The 20,213-nt window shown below is 56.9% G+C and overlaps 2 protein-coding genes across 14 annotated transcripts in view, besides 6 other annotated features; one reads left to right on the top strand and one right to left on the bottom strand.

The window, feature by feature from the left end:
* The window catches only part of PPP1R13B (protein phosphatase 1 regulatory subunit 13B), a 115,620-nt gene extending 113,138 nt beyond the window's left edge, over positions 1-2,482 (top strand). For 8 of the 12 annotated variants that reach the window (XM_005267487.6, XM_011536593.4, NM_015316.3 and 5 more), the window contains one exon: positions 482-2,482. In XM_005267487.6, coding sequence (XP_005267544.1) covers positions 482-523 — 42 coding nt within the window. In that variant the 3' untranslated portion in view covers positions 524-2,482. The remainder of the gene's footprint in view (positions 1-481) is intronic. The other 4 variants (XR_007063997.1, XR_001750205.3, XR_001750206.3 and 1 more) reach the window with 3 other exon arrangements.
* On the bottom strand, positions 2,013-19,867 carry ZFYVE21 (zinc finger FYVE-type containing 21). 2 transcript variants are annotated; one of them, NM_001198953.2, is made up of 8 exons: positions 19,698-19,867; positions 8,835-8,885; positions 7,763-7,931; positions 6,694-6,769; positions 6,495-6,586; positions 5,831-5,884; positions 2,915-3,057; positions 2,013-2,694 (listed from the first exon to the last, which is right to left on the bottom strand). In NM_001198953.2, the coding sequence occupies exons 1-8, from the start codon at positions 19,833-19,835 to the stop codon at positions 2,659-2,661; spliced, it is 759 nt and encodes a 252-aa protein (NP_001185882.1). In that variant the 5' UTR covers positions 19,836-19,867; the 3' UTR covers positions 2,013-2,658. The 2 variants fall into 2 exon arrangements, with proteins under 2 accessions (NP_001185882.1, NP_076976.1); NM_024071.4 differs by lacking the exon at positions 5,831-5,884.
* Positions 13,875-14,375: an enhancer, noted in NCBI's record as "H3K4me1 hESC enhancer chr14:104187639-104188139 (GRCh37/hg19 assembly coordinates)". NCBI's record gives its function as "activates a minimal SCP1, AML or CMV promoter by ChIP-STARR-seq in primed H9 embryonic stem cells {active_cell/tissue: H9 hESC(primed)}" and the evidence as "EXISTENCE:reporter gene assay evidence [ECO:0000049][PMID:30033119]".
* Positions 16,993-17,503: an enhancer, noted in NCBI's record as "H3K4me1 hESC enhancer chr14:104184511-104185021 (GRCh37/hg19 assembly coordinates)". NCBI's record gives its function as "activates a minimal SCP1, AML or CMV promoter by ChIP-STARR-seq in primed H9 embryonic stem cells {active_cell/tissue: H9 hESC(primed)}" and the evidence as "EXISTENCE:reporter gene assay evidence [ECO:0000049][PMID:30033119]".
* Positions 19,054-19,133: a silencer, noted in NCBI's record as "silent region_6174". NCBI's record gives its function as "represses an Ori minimal core promoter by ATAC-STARR-seq in GM12878 lymphoblastoid cells {active_cell/tissue: GM12878}" and the evidence as "EXISTENCE:reporter gene assay evidence [ECO:0000049][PMID:35858748]".
* Positions 19,194-19,263: a silencer, noted in NCBI's record as "silent region_6173". NCBI's record gives its function as "represses an Ori minimal core promoter by ATAC-STARR-seq in GM12878 lymphoblastoid cells {active_cell/tissue: GM12878}" and the evidence as "EXISTENCE:reporter gene assay evidence [ECO:0000049][PMID:35858748]".
* Positions 19,364-19,443: a silencer, noted in NCBI's record as "silent region_6172". NCBI's record gives its function as "represses an Ori minimal core promoter by ATAC-STARR-seq in GM12878 lymphoblastoid cells {active_cell/tissue: GM12878}" and the evidence as "EXISTENCE:reporter gene assay evidence [ECO:0000049][PMID:35858748]".
* Positions 19,634-20,203: a silencer, noted in NCBI's record as "silent region_6171". NCBI's record gives its function as "represses an Ori minimal core promoter by ATAC-STARR-seq in GM12878 lymphoblastoid cells {active_cell/tissue: GM12878}" and the evidence as "EXISTENCE:reporter gene assay evidence [ECO:0000049][PMID:35858748]".

Raw genomic sequence — 20,213 nt, 5'->3', positions numbered from 1 at the left:
CTGCAGCCTAGAAATTTCTCCAGTGGAGGGAGAGGTGGGAACGTGCAGGCTGCTAGCTCTGTGTTGGACTTGTGATTCCCTCAGTCCTCTGGCAGAGGGAGCTGCCTCTGCTCTCTTTGTGCCCTGCAGAGCTGCCAGGGGCTTGCTGTTGAGCCAACGTTCTTGGCCAGGCAAACACAGCAGGGAGCCAGGCAGAGACCCTTGCCCAGGGGAGCTTATGACCTTGAGAGCCACAGGCAGTCACAAGTCTTTAGGTGGCATGAAGTGTTGTGAGAAAAATAGGATATTCTGGGGGTACAAGGCACATTTTAAAGAGGGCTGGGTGGGTCTCAGTGTAGAGGTGCAGCTGAGCGTAGGCCTGAGGGACAAGGGTGCTGCACGGCTGTCCAGGGTGGCTGAGGTGAGGAGCAGGGGTCGGGTCTGGCTGGCCCTGCTCCCTGTGTGTGGCTTCCTGTCCTGACGCGGCTCCGTTGCTTCCCAGCTGTATCCACGGATCAAACCCCGACAGCGAACACTCGCCTGAACTTCCTTTTGGAGCACCGCATGGTCTTGCCAGCTACCAGGAGCCACTTAAGAGATTATTGTGCTGTTTTCCAGGAAAGCTGCAGCTAGAAAATGGTCTTAATGGTGCTCACTTTAGCAGACAGCGTCCACAATGTGAATCCTACAGTTTCCAGGTGAGGCCCTTTCTCCAGTTTGCCCATTAACTGGGAGAGGTACTTTCGCCTCCAAGGACTGAATTTTGCCAATTACTATAAATCCAAATAAATACCCACTTTCAAAACACCCACCCCTCTTGCCATTAAGAAGTCCCATAACCCCCGGTTGGTTGCCAGTGAAGACAGAAGCTCTTACTGACTTGGCCCCGAGGCCATCACCCCCTCCAGCAGTGAACACTGTCCGCCGCTGTGAGGCCTGCTCCCCTGCGACCGCCCTGCCCCCCGTCACCGAATCGGACACTCATCCTTTCTCACACTTCCCACACATGATCCTTCTTCCCTTCATCACCAAAGGAGCCTCTGTATGGAAACATGTCCAGTGTTGCTGCCCAGTGTGTATGCCTCCCAGTACCCACTCTGCTCGGCCGCCTTGGGGGTTCCGCTTCCTGTTCCAGTTCACCTAAAGGCTGATTGTGCAGGCCCAGCACTGTGGCTGGACTGCCGCGCCACGGGCACCAGGACCCCTAAGACCAAGTGACAACTGGGAGAGCCTCAGCATATACTCTTCTCCTCCGATCTCACAGCCTGTCATGCTGCTCAGTGTGGTTCTCACCCCTGCAAGCTCAAATTCAGTTCCCTGAATGGAGTCAGGTGCTGGAGGCCGTGGCAGCGGAGGGTGGTTGGGGTTGGGGCTGGGGGTGGACTGGTGTGAGGGCAGACCAGGGCCAGGTAGACGGGGCTGTTTGGTGCCTGAAGGATGGCAGACGCCTGGTGTCAGGAGGGGCCGCCACCAAGGAGCAGCAGCTGGGGCAGAGGAGCTGGGGTCAGGGGCCACCCCTCTCTGCCGATCTCCCTGCCTGGGCTGGCTGTGAGGCCACCTTTGTCCCAGGCCCAGCCTCAAGGCAAGGAGGGCGCTTCACTGAGGTGTGAATTGTACGTACAGGCTTTTTATATACCAAAAGTATTTTTTGACTAGACCATTCAAAGCTACCCGAACTATGTTGGAAATTTTTTTTTTCTCATTAAAATACAGGCCCTTAGGCTCTATTTTTCATGTATGAGTCGTGTGTAATTTATGTAAAAATGTGTGTACAGACTCACTGATGCAGCACTGTAGCCCATCACCTTGGAGCACTGACTGTACATAGTGTGGTGAAGAAAAGTGAACGCCCTTGTAGAGCAGCCCGACCACAGGAGCATGGCCGCTGCCAGCCCAGACGCTGCTGACGCTGTGTAAATGTGCACAATAAACCCGTCTCACCCCGGCGGCTGTGAGTCTTCTTTCTGGACCCAGACTGCGCTGTGGCACGAGGGTTCAGGTGATCTGGACACAGGAAGGCGAGGCCTTGTCCGTATGTTCAAAATAGTTTTTAATCATAAGCTTTATATACAAATTGCTGTACAGTCATCTTAATAAAGTGAAATAGTGAGTGAAAAGTACAAAACACAAAGCCCCCACGTTCCCCTTGGTGAAGTATCAAAGGATCACTCACAGCCCAGAAGCCCCAAATTAGTGACAAGGTAAGTGGACAAGTCTGTGAAACAGGCTAAGGCAAGTGCTGTAAACTGGCTATTAGAGGCGAACAGGCTCCACTGCAGACCAGAAGCCTGAGTTCCTACTGCCCAAACTGGTTCTGTGGAAGAATTAAATGAAATGAATATTGATGGGCCAGAACCTTCTAGTAGACCTGCGAACTCATAAAAATGGTATATATTATGCTAAAAATAGTTTAGCAGTAGTGTAGCTCAGTCTCTCCCACCCCCAATTAAGTATTGACAATACACAAATTCTAAAACATGAAGCTGTTTAAAGCATTAATAAACTGTGAACATATTGCACTAGATAAGTGAACACTCCTGTTTCTCCAAATACATGAGTGAGTTGCATTTCCCAGCACAAGCAGGATTAATCCCTGTGGTACGCAAGGAGCAGGCTCTGCTGTTCCAAGCGACTCAGTCCTGGTGACCACACGTACTCCAAGCTCAGCCCCACGTAGAGTTACTGGTCCCGAGATTCATAGAGGAGCTTGGCAGCCTGCAGATCAGACAAGATCAACACAGTGAGGCCTGCTTGGTCCTGTGCCTGGTGGAGCCAAGCCTGTGTGCATTTCAGGGGAGATGGCGTGGGCACCCCAGCTGAGGGGGAACAGGTTGTGGGGATAGGGGGCAAATGGCAGGACACAGAGCTTCCTCTGGGAAAGGCAAGCTTTTGTCTAAGCCAAAGGGCCCAGCCTCCCTGGCCTGGGCTCAGGTACCTTGTGCATGGCCACTAGCCACGCCACCGCCTGCCTCCTGCCCACAGTCACGTCCTCCACCACTGTCAGCTTCAGCTGGGTCACACCCTCCGTCCCCGGCACTGTATACTGCAGGAACATGCCTGTGGCCCGTGCGTTGCCTCCTGGAGGAGAGAGACGAGGTAAGACGGCCCAAAGGAGGCCCTGAGTGCCCAGGCGGCCACCAGCCCCAAGGCGGTGGCCAGCACATCCTAACCTTGTGCTGCTCCAAGAGTAGCCTGGCAGTGAGGGCTGGTGCTCAGGAGCACCCAGGGAACACCATCTCCTCAGGCCTCTGAGGGGAGACCCCAAGCTCACAGGTGGGGTGGGAGAGGGACCAAGACACTCAGCCGGGTGCCCCAGGGCCCGGGACAAACAACAAGAGCCACATCACCACGAGAGGCCTTGCTCTCGGCTAATTGAGGCGCTGCTATGCCCTGGGGCCTGTGGGGGTTCCTGCCTTCAGAGAACCTCCAGACAAGACTGGCTCCTGCAGAGGTGCCCACCTGCACCCAGGGCTGGGGGAAGAGTGGAGGCCACCTCGAGAGTGCCCTGGCCACTGACAGGCCAAGCAGATGGTCAGGGACACAGCTGGCCTCACCCAGGAGTCAGAGGCCTCAGCCATCCCACCGTTGAGAAGCGGCGTCAGCACAGAGGGGATTGTCACTACAAAGGCCCAGTGTCAGGGAAATGCCACCCCAGCCTGGTCACGGGCCATCTCCCCAGACCCAGCACCCATGTTGGGGACTGGTCTCTGGGACCCAGGCTCCCCGTCTTTGGGCGGTGACCAGCTGTTCCAGTGACAATGACTCAATTCCAGCACTCGCTCCAACAATACACTGCTGAAGAGAGCAGCTCTTCAGTCAGGGCTGGTGTTGAAAGAGACCCATGGGATGCAGCCTCCCATGAACTTGATGACTTGGGAGGGAAGCCCCATCGTAGGCAATCACTGACCTCTCAGGAGACCCCTCCATCAGACACACATCCCCCCATCAGCACTCAGGGCCGGCTCTTCTGCCGGTTGGTGGAGTGGGCACCAAGGCTGCAGTCGGAGGCCCACCGACCGTGCTTGGAGGCCTGAGCAACCTATGACACGCTGTCCCCTGGGAGGCCCCGGAACCACATTTTTTTTTTCCGAGACGGAGTCTTTGCTCTTGTTGCCCAGGCTAGAGAGCAGTGGTGCGATCTCGGCTCTGCACCCTCCGCCTCCCGGGTTCAAGTGATTCTCCTGCCTCAGCCTCCTGAGTAGCTGGGATTACAGGCGTGTACCTCTACGCCCAGCTATTTTTTTTTTTTTTTGTATTGTTAGTAGAGACGGGGTTTCTCCATGATGGTCAGGCTGGTTTCGAACTCCCAACCTCAGGTGATCTGCCCGCCTTAACCTCCCAAAGTGCTAGGATTATAGGCATGAGCCACCGTGCCTGGCTTTATTTTAATTATTTTTTGAGTCTCTGTTGCCCAGGCTGGAGTGCAGTGGTGCCATCTCAGCTCACTGCAACCTCCGCCTCCTGGGTTCAAGCGATTCTCCTGCCTCAGCCTCCCGAGTAGCTGGGACTACAGGCACCCACCACCACACCCAGCTAATTTTTGTATTTTTAGTACAGACAGGGTTTCACCATGTTGCCCAGGCTGGTCTCGAACTCCTGACCTCAGGTGATCTGCCCGCCTCAGTCTCCCAAAGTGCTGGGGTTACAGGCGTGGGCCACCATGCCGGGCCTCTAGAACCACACTTTCATAAGCCCGGTTCTGTGGTTAGGGCACGCACCCCCACCCCCAACACTGGGGAACCTTGCCTGTCAGTGTAACGTCCTGCCTAGGCTCTAGAGCAGGGCGACCATGGCTCTGCCTACCGCCTGCATTTGCCTGATAAAGCACCACTGGATCATAGCCATGGCCGTCTGTCACCCTGTCTTCTGCAGCCGCCTCCGCCTTCACCACAGCACACGTGGCTGGCAAAGGTTTACTATCTGGCCTTGAAAGAATGAGTGTGTGGCCTGCCCTACAGGGCCCAGGCTGGCAGGCGGCCCCTTGGCTGCCTTCAGGTCAGGGGACTGTTCCTATTGTCCCCACCCCCACCGGAAGACAGGGTGCTGGGGTCTGAAGGGCTCTACTGAGACTGGGCAGAGCGGGGCTCACTGCACCCCCCAAGCCACCACAAGGGGGACACAGTGCCAGAAGCCCTGGGGAGGGTCTGCCCGGGAGAGCAGTCCGGGAGGCTGTGTTGCCCTGGCCTCCTGAGGCACTGGCCTTCATCTGATGCCCCTAAACACTGGCCTTCATCTGAGCCTCAGGCTCCCCAGGAGGAGGCAGGCAGAGAGGGGTGCCTGGGGTGACCCCCGCTTCTCCAGACCCTACCCTTTGCACCTGGGCATCTATACCTTGCAGCCTGCTCAAGGCAACCAGCTTGATGCCATCCCGGCTCCACACACATCCCTGAGCTCAGGACAGAACACTGGCCTGGGCATCTCACCTCACCATCCAGGAGGCTGACAGAAGTGCCAGGAGAGTCAGGGGTCCCAGGAGGCCACACTGAGCTGGGGAGCAGCAGGCCTCGGGGGGAAGGGCAGTGTTGGCAGAGGCTCCCAAGGGCAGGTGAGCCCCCACGCCCCCTGGCCTCAGCCTGTTCAGGGCTGGCAGGTACTGACAGAGAGCTGTCAATTGCTGGGTAACCCTCCCGCTGAGACAGAACTGAGAAAGTACATCTGCTGCGGTATCTTCATTTATGCTTTATAAACCCACTTATCAGATCCAACATCTCTCTTAAGTCAACCAAAGTAAGTGAATTCAGGTTTCACAAAGAACCTTGGCATGGACCACCCCGTGGACAGAAGCCAGGTGGCGAGGGGAGGAACGGGCCCGCTGCATGCGGGGAGCCCCGGTGAGGAGGAAGAGGCTGACCTTCAGAGGCAGGCTGGCTCCCCCGGAGGCTGGTGTAAGCGTGAATGTCTTTTTCTATGGCAAGAAGGTGGGCAGGCAGTGGCGAGAAGGAGCAACCAAGAGCCGGTGAGAGAACGGAAGGAAAGCAACATGGGTTACGGCACACGCATCTGTCAGCACAGTTTGCAGATAACGGGATGCGAGCTCCCCGTCAGCAGAGTTTAGTGGAGAGGCCCAGGATGGGCCAAAGCTCACCAGGAAATGCACCAGGGGTTTAGTCTGCACAGACGCCTGCAGGAGGAGGGCTGAAGTGCTGGCTCCCGATGAGCCACCATTCAGACCTTTTTGGGGATCTCAGTTATTGCATTTGGGGCTTTATCCTTGGTTTGAATCCAACAATAAACCGAATGATACGTTAGAGCATTTAGAGCAGAGGAAATCATTATGACATGCTGAGGCAAATGTCCCTTTGTTGTCTTACAGTTTAAGTCTCCACTCACCTGGCGAGTTCTAAAGCCACTGAGTAAATACACGCCCCGCGAAAGAGGAAAGGCAGATTGTCCTGGAAACCCAGCAGACCCCACTCCTCAGGGCAGCTGCCTGATCCCAAAAGTGCATGCTCCTCTTGTCACCCACGCATGGCACCAAACCCTCCTGGCTTAGGAAAGGACGTGCTGGCATTTACCTCCAGGAGGGAAGCCTTCTGTGAGGATCTGCACGGTGGAAATGTGTACAATTTCGATTTCATAGTGGCTGTCTCCATCCAGAAACAAGTATCTACATCAAATAAAAGTGTCCAAATCGGGTCATTCTCAGGCTCAGTGCCACCGAGGCTCCCGGTCTGTGACAATGCTGCCCCGTGCCAAGCAGGATCCGGCTCTTACCTCTGGTTATTGGAAAGACGACAAGTCATAGTTTCAGGTTTCTCTGAGTTTCCAAACGTGACGAGGAAGGTGGCTCCTTGGGAACACAAAAGCAAACGTGAGAACAGGGCCTGCTTCTTTTCCACCTAACCCTTCCCACGAGTACCAGTAGGAGACGCACGCACAGAGGACAGAGTAAAAACAGCAAGAAACAAACCACAGCTTTGTTCTAAGGACCCCTTCAGCTGAGCAAAAAGGCAGTCATGGATCAAGGGTTTAAGAGGTAAACCCAAAGGCGCTGCTCTAGACAGGTTCTGCTTGCTTACAAAGCTCCTAGAAATTCTTTTACATCCTTCAAACGATGCAGGGAATTCATCACCAAGGTCCAGATCAAAGAACAATAAACCACTCTGCTCACACGTCCTAAGAGCTGGCAGGACAGGACCAAGACAGCAGAAAGGAGGCACAACAAAGCCCACCGTCCAGCCAGGGACCATGCCCGTTTCACACAGGATGGAGCTGTGGGCAGGAAGGCAGGTGGTCCCAGACCCCACGGCGGGCAGGCAGGGGACAGGAGGCTGGGACGGCAGTGGCCAGAGGTGGACGGACAGTGGGGAGAAGGCGCTGCTCGTTGTTCAGATTCCAGGGAGGCACACCCTATGCCCCTGGAGAATGCCCTTCTCCCACACCAGGTCCCCAGAGATGGCTCAAAACCGGGTCTGCATCGTGCTATTGGGCAAAGGTCTCCGGCCCCTCCGAGGAGCCACAGTGGTTGCAAACGCCCGAGCGCCGGCGCCGGGTTCCACCCGGGGGAAGGAGGAAGGTGCTGCCTGGGCCCAGGGCCTCCCCTCCCACCTGATGGACGTGCCCAGCGGAGTCAGCACCAACATTTTAGACGACATTCCGCCTCTGAAAAGAAGGGAAGGCTCTATAACCGCTTCTAAACGAATCCAGAAGAAAACGGGGAAGGGAGGGAGGGCGAGAGAACGTCAGAGAAGCAGAACGCCCCGTGCACAGCCCACAGCATCGCCACAGACACGAGGAGCCGGCTGGCGGAGCGCGCGGGACTGTGCAGGACACCCGTCCTTACCGCTCAGGAGCACTTTGAGCTGCTTGTCGTAGAACTCCGCCTCCTTGAGGGACACGAGGGCGCACTCCGCGCACTGCCGCACGGGGTCCACAAAGCACATGCGCCGCAGCGGCACCTTCTGGCTGCAGCACCTGTCGCAGAAGCACTTCCCGCAGCGGCGACAGTGGTGCTGGGCAGATGCGGGAGGATTGGCAGTGAGGAGGGGCAGGGAACAAGCGGCCCCGGGTGTGGCCCCGGCTGGCCTGGCACTCCCCGGGCCACGCCTAAACGCGAGGCCCCTGTGCCGGCCGCTGCACACGCGCACCTCCTGTCGCCAGCCCCTGGGCTCCCCACCACGCAGCGGGGATCCGCCTCACCTGGGAAATGAGGCCCTTTTTTCAAAATCATGGATCAAAATGGCTGTTTTTCAGCTTTCTTTCAACTACCCAAGTCCCACTGCTTAGGACGCCCTCGCGCCTCGGGGCGCCATGAGCTGGGCACACATTAGGGGCAAGACACTTCACGAGGGCAAAGCGGCACGGGGACGGGGCGGAGGGGGCAGAGGGGGCGGGGGGCAGGTGGGTGCACAGGCCTCGCAAGCTGCACCCCCACCCCATAGCGTCCGGCAGAATCAGCACAGTCACTTTCCACGGAAACAGGGCATGGCTGACACTCAAAATGAGCCATAACGGCTGGGTGTGGTGGCTCACACTTGTAATCCCAGCACTTTGGGAGGCCGAGGTGGGAGGATCATTTGAGGTCAGGAGTTCGAGACCAGCCTGGCCAACATGGTGAAACCCCATCTCTACTAAAAATATAAATATTAGCCAGGCGTGGTGGCAAGCCCCTGTAATCCCAGCTACTCAGGAGGCTGAGGCAGGAGAATCACTTGAACCTGAGAGGCAGAGGTTGCAGTGAGCCGAGATGGAGCCACTGCACTCCAGCCTGGGCGACAAGAGCGAAACTCCGTCTCAAAAAAAAAAAAAACGAGCCATAAGATGACATCCGTCCCCTGCCAGAAGGGGCAGCGGCAGCTGTCCTGTTGGGGCCCCTCCCCTCTTCCCACCACCCCCACTCAGCGGCCTCAGCTCACCTTTCTGGTGAGAAAGTCAAACTTGGCGTCACACTGCATACATCTCCGACACTAGGAAAGACACGACAAAGCGTTAAAACGCAGCTTGGTCACTCACCACGTCGCTGGGGCACGACCACGGGCTGCTGAGAAAGCTGGGCCCTGCCACCTCCCCACGCACCCAAGCAGCCTGAGGCAGGCAGGGTTGTGACGCAGGACGGTGGACTGGCCGCCTGTGCCCAGGCTCCAGAGCCAATGCGGTGGGGTGCAGGCTGCTCCCAGGCCTGCGGGAGATGCACCCAGCGTAACCATGGGGCCTGAGGTGGGCTTGGGGTTTGACTGTCTCGCAGCAGAGCATGCATCCTGGCACTTCAGGTCCCTCCACACTGGACCCAACAGCAGTTCACCTTAACAACGCCTTTTTAGCCCTGGTCCTGTTACTGGAACCAAAGAGCAACGCCACGAAGGGACTAGGAAATCCACAGCAAGAGCCAACCTAAACCCCTAAACCAGGGAAGGCTGTGCTAGCACCCACTTCACAAACGAGGCGAGCATGGGGAGGTGCTGATTCTGGGGCTGCGCGCCAGCCGGCAAAAGCCCAGGTATCTGAGACATAAAGCTTATTATTCTAGTTTACTTGGAGTCCTGGCGTGCGTGCCCTGACCCCCGCCTGTGAGGGAACCCCTGGAAGCAGCTGAAGCACACGCAGGCCGGTGTGTGCCACGGGGGCGGGCGCCAGGCCTGGGGACGCCCTGAAGATGCTTCCTCAGCTGGAGGACCCAGGCACAGAGAAGCTGTAAGACTCACAAGCCAGGGCTCACAAGGCTGGACTTTGTTGGCCAAGAGTGTTCTATGCACACAGAATGTACAAAGGTAGACAGAAACAGGAAGGTGACTGGGCTCAGGGCCCACCAGGAATTCTGACAGCACAAGACCTGGGAACTGGGCAGGTGGCCATGGGGCTCACTTTCCCCAAGGGGTCACAGCAGGCCTGAAGCCCCATGGCAAGGTGGTACTGTCCCGGCACCTCAGATGCTTGGTCGGCCTAAGGGTAAAGGTGGAATTGAAATCAGTTAGAAATAAAACAGATTTAAGATGCTCCCTGCATTTCCACTGCTTCACTTGACTAGACAAAAAAACTTGTCACCGAAGCACAGGGTGCATTTACCAAGCACCCAGAGACACACATGTGGTGGTCTATGCTGAAGCCCCCCACTGACGCTGGGCTCTCAGCCCCTGCCAGGAGGCCCTCACTGAGGAGGCCACAAGCCCAAGGTCACACCCCACTGTGGGCAGCCATGGCCACCCGGCCAACTCCTTAGAAAAACCAGCCGGGCCTCCAAGCTCCCGAGGGCTGCAGAGACCTCAGGACTGGCCACAGCCAGCTTCTCAGCAGCCCCAAATGGAGCGTGGCCTGGTGAGGTGCCTGCTCCGACCACCACAGAGCCTGCTTCTGAGGGGCGTGGGTCCCAGCTGTGCCTGCCGCCTCCACTTAGAACAGCAAGCCGGATGCGTTGACCACTTGCAGGGGGTTCCTAGCTCGAACCTCCTCATGACCAAGGGACGAAGTCACCGTGAACACGCTCACCCTCAGCACCAAAGGCACGGAACTCCCAAACCTCAGCTGGGAAGGCCTGGCCTGGCCGCCTCCTGCTCACTCCAGATGGCAGGGGGACCCTGACGCCGGCACGAGCGCAGCACGAGGACGCCGCCATCGCCGCCGGCTCCCCCGCTCTAACAGCAGGGACTTCAGTCCAAGGGGAAGACATTCAGACCTGGCTCTGAAGGAAATCTGTGTCACCATGCATTCTTTTAACAGAGTGAGGGACACTTTTGCCACGAAAATGGTCCCCGGATTTGGTAAGCCGGTACAGCCTTTTTCAAAGCTGGCCCTCGGTGCTGCCCACCCGCTCCCCAGCAGGCCCTTCAGCAGCGCATTGGGGGCTGCGGGACCCAGGACGCCTCGCCTCCCTCAGCTTCATGAGAACAAGACCCTCGTGCTCTGGGGTCCTTGGTAAGGATGAAACAAGGTGTGACAAGCACACCCCGCTTTGGTCCTCGCTGTCAGAGACCTCGGTGGCGGGTGGTGAACCAGAAACAGGTGTGGGTTCAATGAACCAGCGACGGAACGGTGGGAGTCAAAGGGGTCCTCTTGGGAGAGATGGAGGGTCTTTTGGCTTCTGATGATTAAGGGCTCGGCTGAATATTGACCAAGAATCATCCATGTTCTAAGCACAATAATCCTCAAAAGAGATGTAAGAGAAGACCTTCGCTCCACGAAGAGCCCCCTTTTCCCTTCTGGGGGAAGGAGGGGGCCCCCAAACGAGACCAGGAATTACCTGGCGAGCATAAACTGAGGGCCTGAAGTCTCGAAAAGGAGGCAGACTGGAGGTGGCCACAGCATTACCAAGCCACACAAGAGCTCAGACGTCTTATCTAACGCGAGAGCCGCCTCAGAGCTCCACCAAGGACAGACGGGCTGTGCTGGCACCGACAAGCAGCTGACAGGGCTCGGCCCCTCCGTGGGAAAGCTGCTCCCACACGCATGGCACCGTTCCAGCCCAACCCTGGGCCGGCGAACACTGCTGGGGCTGATTCCACAAGGAGGCAGGCAAGGCCTGTGGGGTCACCGGGGCCGAGCACCTTCTGGAACACAGGCCCCTGGGTCTGAGCTGGGGTGGGGACCGCGCGGCCGCCCAATCCCCCAGCGCCTCTGACATGGCTGCACAGCCTCCCTGTGGTCTGGGGGCCCAGCCACGGATCCTCCATCACCCCACCCTGATCCTCTCCCTCATAGGCATGGGGACTCTTCCCTGCCCTGCACCCCTTCTCTGGGAAGTCCAACCCCTTCTCTGAGCCCCAGAAGACGCTGGTGTGGAGGAGCTGCTCTGATGCGGTGCCATCACAGCCGCCACCCTCACCATGTCCCCGCCACCCTCAGCGTGTCCCTGCCACCCTGCAATCTGCAAAGGCAGGGGCCTCCCTCCAGCCTGCGGGACCCACACAGGCAGCACAGGAAGCCTGCAGCCCCTCCACAGGGGGCTCGGAGACAGTCCACATCAGGTGCCAAGTGCCCACTGTGCTTAGTTGGCAAAACAGAGTCTGGTGGTCCTGGGACTCTGCAGATGCTTCTGGAAGGAGTCCTATGGGGCCCACAGCCACGTGTACCCTCACTGTAGGAGGACAGAGGTCCCGGTTGTGGCGCACATCAGGGGCCCTTCAGACGCCATTCTGCAGCAAGGACTGGCCCGTCGCGACCCACACGAGGGCCTCATCCCTGCCGAGTTCCATGTCGCCACTGCCCCAACTCAGGCAGGCAGGTCCTGAGCTTTGTGAGATCCCACGACCAGCCTTTTTTTGTTTCCCTTTGCTTTTAAGCTGCTTCCTGGACTTGGAAACCAGGCCTGGCCCACCCCAGCCTTCTGGAAGCATCTAAAAAGTCCAGCTGGCAGCTCTGCCAGGGGCTCCCTGCCCACGGGCTGTGGGCGTTGGCTGGCTGTTCCCCGCCCTGATTGTGCTTCAGCCCAGCCCTGCCATTGCCCTCAAATGGGCCTGTCGGTTCTGGAATGTTCTGCCTGCTGTGCGGTGGCACAGTCCCTGCCTCTGTGTGGTGGCCCCTTCCCTGACCCCAGACATCCACTAGCCACAGAATCCACTAGAATCTGCTAGAGAAAGCTTCACGGGGGTTTTAACTCTGAGCTTAAGCAAACACGAGGCCACGTTATCACCAGGTTCCAGTGAGAGTAACTATTGATGGTCTCTCCATGGTGACCCTGGCCCACAGCGCCCGACAGGAGGGGAGAGGGCTCTCAATATTCTCAGCAGACGGTGGTGAAAGAGGACTGCTTTTCACATTTACTGTGCAGTTTGTGTTTGGGCAAGCTGAAAGGCCAATTTCTAAATATAACACCACACTGCTGGAGCAGTGGCTCACGCCTGTAATCCCAGCACTTTGGGAGGCTGAGGCAGGAGGATCACTTGAGCCCAAGAGTTTAAGACTAGCCTGGGCAACACAGCAAGACCCTGTCTCTACGAACATTTTTTTTTTTTTGAGACGGAGTCTGTCGCCCAGGCTGGAGTGCAGTGGCACAATCTCGGCTCACTGCAAGCTCCGCCTCCCGGGTTCACGTCATTCTCCCGCCTCAGCCTCCCAAGTAGCTGGAACTACAGGTGCCCGCCACCACGCCCAGCTAATTTTTTGTATTTTTAGTAGAGACGGGGTTTCACTGTGTTAGCCAGGATGATCTCGATCTCCTGACCTTGTGATCTGCCTGCATCGGCCTCCCAAAGTGCTGGGATTACAGGCGTGAGCCACCGTGCCCGGCCTGAACATTTTTTTTAATGAGCCAGGCATGGTGGTGCACACCTGTAGTCCCAGCTACTTGGGAGGCAGAGCTGGGAGGACAGCTTGAGCCCAGGAGGTCGAGGCTGCAGTGAGCCATGTTCATGCCATTGCACTCCAGCCTGGGAAGCAGAGTGAGACCCTGTCTCAAAAAAAAAAAAAAAAAAAAAGAGACAGACCACACCTAGGATTTGCCCCCTTAAAAATATAAGTGATCCAGAAGTTTATTACTATAAAATAACCAAGGAGCTTAGATGTATAGGCTTTTAAATAAGGTAATTTCCTATTGATTATATTAGTGAAAGAAATTTAAAAAATTATCAACAGAGCAATTTAATATGAAATAAAGCAATGGATGAAGACATAAGGTAAAACTACTGCCAAATACCTACCCCGCCAGTAAGCACGCCCCGCAAAGGAAGCGCAGGACAGCAAGCCGGGCCCCAGACCAGGCTCCCACCAGCGCCTCCTTTAACTGGACCCCGCAGCTCTGATGCTCAGTGGAACAGCTATTTTAGGAGCTAGGGAGAATACACCAAAGCCCAGAAACCAAGTGTGATTCATCCGTTTTCACCGTAGGTGGCCAGCGGTGTCTGGAATGCCAGCCTCTGCGTCACATCCCAGGTACACATGTGTCACCACCAGCGTGGGCTGGAGCAGACTTTCAAACCAGCACATTCGCTGGGGAAACTAAAACCTCCAAGAACAACCCAATGAAACAGGCCTCAAGACGTTTAGTGAGGAAAATGAATAAATAAATAATAAAGGTGTTTAGTGAGGGCCACGAGGCCAGAGGTGCAGGCTGTGACAAACACACAGAGATGAAGAGGGAGAGTGAGGCAAGGTCAGCTTGGGCAGTGCCCCTAATAACACCCATCTGCTGCCTGACCCTCTTGCCCAAGCCAAGCAGATAAACCCGCTAATGACAGACACTGCCCCCTAGGATGGACGGCGGGGCCCAAGTGCTCTCCAGGAGCCCTCTGTGCCCTGTGCAGTGGCGTCACAGAGGCAGCCTCGGCCCAGGCCTCTCTGGGGCGCCTGGCACTCACCTCCATGGGAGGCCTCCGTGGCCACCTTGCAGGGCCAATCACAGGCTCGGCGGGAAGCTATATGGACACAGAAGGAGCTGTCTCAAGGGAAGCGGGGCCAAGAGGGAGCGAGGATCAGGGCAGGTGCATGCAGACGGCTCCCAGTGAAATTTCGGAACACACTTCTCCTGGCTGCCTACAGGAGTCAGAGCCCTGGGCGCTTGTCCCCTCCTTGCTAGTCCAGTAAACCACAACTGACTTGCACCCACCCTGCCAGATGACATGCTCGGAGGCGGTCAAGGCAGATGCCATAAACTAGGCTTCCCGGTGGGTAAGCAAGATGGCCGCGAGCAATGAAAGAAGAAACCAGGTCAGGCGTGGTGGCCACACCTGTAATCCCAGCACTTCGGGAGGCTGAGGTGGGTGGACTGCTGGAGCTCAGGAGTTTCAGACCAGCCTGAGCAACATAGCACAACCCTGTCCCTACAAAATAAAACCTAAAAATTAGCTGGGCGTGGTGGCGGGTACCTATGGTCCCAGCTACTCGGGAGGCTGAGGCAGGAGAATGGCTTGAACCCGGGAGGTGAAGGCTGAAGTGAGCCGAGATCGCGCCACTGCACTCCAGCCTGGGTGACAGTGAGACTCCGTCTCAAACAAAACAAAAAACAGAAATCATGAAGCCCATCACTCCTCCACAGTGCGGCAGACACCAGCATGGAGCTCCTTAGAGACCTGCAGGTCGAGACCCGCTCCCCCACTCCAATGCAACAGGAACGGCCCCTCGAGGGTCACAGGGCAGCTCCTCAGAACCAGCACCCGGCCCACCCCAAAGAGTGGGGTTTGGCAGCACGCAAGAAACCAAAAGCGCCTCCATATAATCTGAAAGTATAGTTTAGGGAGTTTAAATGGATGTTCAAAAAAAGTTATAAAAAGAACCAAGTCTCAGGACACAGGCTGGACATGGACATAGGCCTGCCCTCCCTTTGAGGCTGGGGTGACAAAAAACATCAGGCCCCACCACGCACTCTGAGCTCCCACACTACAGTGAGAAGCGTCACCCACTGGCTGGTGGGGCTCCCACAGTCAACTAATTCTCAGCCCCCCAAGAACTCGCCAATCAAAAAACAATTTAAATGCATGTATCAATGCACCTTTATTGAAAGATAATCACGTTTAACTGGTAGAGCGTAACTCCTACAAACAGAAAAGGAACCCACGTCAAAGATTTACCTCATTAGTTAATGAGAGAACCAATAAGACTAAAAACCCAGTTCAAAGGAGAATCCAAAGAGCAGACATGGATACAGGCCGTGAGGAAGGAAGATATGAGTTGTAAACTGGCTCCTCTCACAGGGACCCCGCGGTGGGGTGTGTGAGAGAGGACATCAACTTCACCTCTGAGAGACAAAATCTACTTGCATCTCAGGGACTAGAAACACGTGCGTTACTATCAGTTTTCTACAATTTGAAGCTGTCAGACAGTTTGAAGACGGTGACAGGTGCAGACACTATGATCACAGCCTGGGAGGGTTATGCTACAGGCGGCCTGGCCTCCCACAGGACGCCCAGGAATCCTTTTTTGTGGCTTCAAAGTCTCAGTTTTACCTAACATCAGTAACAGCTCTCCAGCCTGGGTGACACAGCAACACCTTGTCTCAAAAAAGAAAAAGCTCTTAGCCAGCCACAGGGACCCTTGAGGAGCTCGCTGGTGTCCCTGGCAGTATCTCATGAGGCTGCTGGTTCCCAGAACACCTGTGGAGGCTCTGGCAGCCCCTGGCACCTCACAGGGGTGAGCTTTACCCAAGCGCTGAGATCCTGGAAACAATTATGAAACCCCCCACCCTGCAGTGTGCTGGGAAAGCCTTCCACCGAGAACCACCCTCCCCATACGAGCCAGAGGAGATCACAGATGCCCCCCTTGCTTACCTGCAGCAAGGCCCTCCAAATTCCCATTCTCTGCCTCAGAAAACACTGGCCATTTCTCCTCATGATCAACTGGAACACAATTCCCTTACCTGGACTTTTTTTTTTTTTTTTTTGAGACAGAGTCTTGCTCTGTCACCCAGGCTGAAGTGCAGTGGCACAATCTTGGCTCATTGCAACCTCCTCTTCCCGGTTCAAGTGATTCTCCTGCCTCAGCCTCCTGAGCTGGGATACAGGCACACACCACCACGCCCGACTAATTTTTGAATTTTTATTATTTATTTATTTATTTTGAGACGGAGTCTCGCTTGGTCGCCCAGGCTGGAGTGCAGCTGCACGATCTCAGCTCACTGCAACCTCCACTTCCTGGGTTCAAGTGATTCTCCTGTCTCAGCCTCCCAAGTAGCTGGAATTACAGGCACTCATCACCACGCCCAGCTAATTTTTGTATTCTGGCCTCAGCTCTCTGATCTGCTGGAGGTCCTGACCCTCCACTGGCCCATCCCACCTCCCCAGCTTGATTCTTTCTAGCCTTGGCCACTCCTCCCTGCAAAAGAAAAGCCCTGTCCGGCCTGGCCTGTGAGACCCTCGCAGAACTCAGGGTCCCCTGTTCTCCCCGCTGCACAGCTCCAGACGCCTCTAGCAACAGTCCTCACTTCAGATCTCTCCTCATCCGAGTCCAGGCTCGTGATCAGACGCGCACGTGCTCTCTCCTTCCTGGCTCTGAATCTAGAGTATCCATCAAAGTGTCAACCCGCCAGCATGGAGCTGCGGTCATTCTTCTGCCAGCACCACGGATGGGAGGTGGGAGGGGTGCACAGCGGCAAGGATTTTAAGGATAAAACTCAGGATCTCAGCTGCTTGTGACAAGCCCAGATGGCTGCACGCCCGGACCGCCCACCCCCAAGCCCACTGCCTTGCGTCAGTGTCGGATATTTGATGGCAGAGTCAGACAAGCCCCAGAGATCATCTGAAGCTTCCTTCACACCCCCAAAGCACCTCTATCCAAAGTGGTGTCGCACGAAGCTTTACACGCCGCCTCTGCCTCCCCTGCCCCACAGGTTCCTGAGGAGGCACAGACTGGAGAAACGATTCTCAACTGGTTCTGCGTCAGAGCCTTGAGAATCTGAGAGCTGCAGGCCACCTCTCGGAGAAAGGTGCATGTGTGCACATGCTCCCCAGGGGGTTTTGCAGCATTTTAAAGGGATAACCCTCATGGGCCCAAACTGATAAACCAGCCCGGTCAGGCAGCTGGTATTCGGGAGACGGGCACTGGGCTGGATTCAGACTCCCCTGGCTAAGAACAGAGCTGGAATGAAAATGGACCAACACGTTTACAGATATGACGATGATGCCGATCGGCACACGGCCACCAAGCCAAGGACAATGTTACCCACCTGCCAAGTTCTACCAAATTCTCCTCTCCCCATTCCAAACCACCTCAAATAAACCTATTTCCCACAACTGGTTATCTGCACATTTGAGTCACCTCCCGACAATCACCTTAGCGGCCCCAAGCACGCAGCCAGCACAGTGTAGCTCAGTGTCCCCTTCAGCATCACCACATGCCAGGCGACTGTTACCGTACATGTCCCCTCGAGCTATTGCACCTAAAGCTGGACTTTATTCCAAATCTTCCAGCCCTTACTGCCCCGTTCTAAGTTCCTCCAGAACACTGTCTTTGGTCGTTTCTGGCCTGTAAGACCATGCTCCAATACAATTCACAACGCAAAACTCAGAGACAAAGTCCATCTTATTAGAATGGTTTCTCTGTCCCCCAAGCCCACCCAATGCTAGGACCTCCCTCAGCTGCTCAGATCCCAGTTAATCATCCAAACATGGTGGGGGGCTCTGGAGGGGTATCCTGCCACCACGCCAGCGTGGGAATGAATCTTCTCTTCCACGAGGGGTGCCACCTTGACTCAAGTGTTTCAACTCCACTCAGTCGGAAGTCACCGCGGGACTGCCACACAGTGCCTCAGCAGAGGCCACAAAGAAAGGCAGGGAAAAATGCTAAACAATTCAGCTGATACCAGAAGGGCTCTGGAAGAGAGAATGAAGGAGGGGAACACAGTGGTTCACTATAAAACAGAACCGTAAGATCAGTGCATGTGTACAGCAGGGAGAAAGAAATTGTGCTTTGGTGGAAACCTCTGCCTCATCTTGGCCACACTTTCTCACGTGCTCCTTACGGTTCATACAGACGTAGAGTATTTCTGTGCTATTAAGAGTTCGTTACACCATAAATACAATTTTCACGTGTCAACTTAAAAGTAAATTTTAAAAAAGATGAAGGAGGATGATTGGCGGAAAGTGTCTAAAAAGACTCCTCATGGTGGCGATACTGGGGAGAGGTGGGCAGCACTGGTCTCAACTCTCCAGGACACGCTCAGTGACCGGTGATGGCTCCGTACACTGTAGATGCCAGAGACACTTCCCCAGAGTCACTCGAATTCCGTCCTGTCCCCGAGGCTCTGTGGCCGCTCACCCCCCACCAGGCCTCCAACCAAGCTTCAATGAACCCAGTCAATTAGTGCTACTTTGACTTCTTGAACCTAGTTCCAACGTCTGCTTAGTTCTATCACTGAGGGAATTAAACGAATCTGTAACACGTGTTAAGTATGAAAGTCATATTACAAAAATTCTTTTTCTCCCCCAATTTTTTTTTTATCGTGGTAAAATCCACAGAACAGAAACTGGACACACCTGTTAGCGCACAGCCAGTGGGATTAAATGCACTCGGGGCCTTCCCAGTTGGCCAAGGGGCTGGTGTGAGGCAAAGGCACCTCCGATCAGGTCACAGGGAACCCCACGGGAGGCCCAGCGGATGGCCTGGCTCAGGGACCCCACGCCCACGCCCCAATGTCTGCAGGAGTGGCCTGGGCAACTCCTGCCGTGTCTGGGCCCATGGGAAACGGGTGCAAATCTGCGGTCTCCTTCAAACTGTCCAGTGGGCGACTGCGACCTCGCTTCCGAGGTGGAGGGTGGTATAGACGAAGGGAAACGGGGGGCAGCCTGGCCCGCAGACTGGGTCCTGGCCCTCCTTCCGAGCAGGAGGTGGCTTCGGAACCGGCCACCCGCCCGCGGCACCGACGCCTCCCCCGGTTCCCGGGAGGGACCCCTGCGGGGCCGCCAGCTCCAGCGCTTCCGCGGACAGCACGCGCCCTCCCCACCGAGCCTGCGAGGAAGGCGCTCCGCCTTCCACTTTCTCGGGAGCGAGCCCCAGCTCTCGGGACGCAGTCCACACGCGCTAGCCCAGCACGAACCGGCCTCGGGCAGGGCCGCACCCACCCCCGGGACCAGCCCGCGCCCCGCACCCCGCCTCCCGGCGCCCGCCCTGGACAGGTGCCTCCTGCCCTCCCGGGACCCCCGCACCGGGACACCGCGCGCCTCCCGCCCTCCCCGCGGGCGTAGGAGCCTGAGGCGGCGGCCCGGGGACGCGGCCAACCTGGGAGAGAGCGGGGGCGGGGGCCGGCTGGGGAAGGGGCCGCCCGGAGGCGGAGGGGTCGTCGCGGGAGCCTGGAAGCCCGCGGGGCCGGGCCGGGGCGGCGGGGCGGGTCGGAGGCGCTGGCCGGGGCGACGGCCACCCACCTCCTTGTCCGGGACCCACTGCGGCTCCTCCAGGCCGAACGGGCTTCCGAAGGCGCGGTGTTCGGGCACCATGCGCAGGCCGCTCGGGGAGCGCACCAGCTTCTTGGCGTCGCGGCGCGCGGACACCTCGGAGGACATGACGCCGCCTCAGCCTCTCGGCCAGCGGCCCCGCACCCGGCCCCTCGCCCAGCCCGGGGCACCGCCCGCCCCGCCCCGGTCCGCGCGCGGCTGACAGCGCCGGCGTCCAATCGCCAAGCCCGCCACGGAGCGCGGACTAATCGGAGCTTGAACTCCGCCCCATCGCTGCCCTCTCCAATCCGTGTAAGGGCACCGCCCCTGCAACCCTGAGGTCGATCACCAATCGGCGGCGAGGGCTGGCCCGGGTACGCTCCGCCCCTCTCAGGGAGATTGAGACTTTGGATTGGTTAGTTAGTCAGTCACGTTAGCGCCGCTTCGTCTCTGATTGGTGTAGCCCACTCAGGGTGCTAGGCGCCTATTGGAGGAGAAGGCCGAGAG

This window comes from Homo sapiens, chromosome 14 (assembly GCF_000001405.40).
Source record: "Homo sapiens chromosome 14, GRCh38.p14 Primary Assembly".
NCBI lineage: Eukaryota > Metazoa > Chordata > Mammalia > Primates > Hominidae > Homo > Homo sapiens.
Note: the sequence above shows the minus strand (reverse complement) of the source record. Positions and strands in the feature narration are given on the sequence as shown.

Excerpts from the sequence above, each read along its gene's own strand:
- ZFYVE21 (NM_001198953.2), bottom strand. The coding sequence starts at position 19,835 with ATGTCCTCCGAGGTGTCCGCGCGCCGCGACGCCAAGAAGCTGGTGCGC. Across the intron at positions 8,886-19,697 it reads AGTGGGTCCCGGACAAGGAG|TGTCGGAGATGTATGCAGTG; the intron begins GTGGGTGGCCGT and ends TGTCTTTCCTAG. Across the intron at positions 6,587-6,693 it reads CGTCTTTCCAATAACCAGAG|ATACTTGTTTCTGGATGGAG; the intron begins GTAAGAGCCGGA and ends TATTTGATGTAG.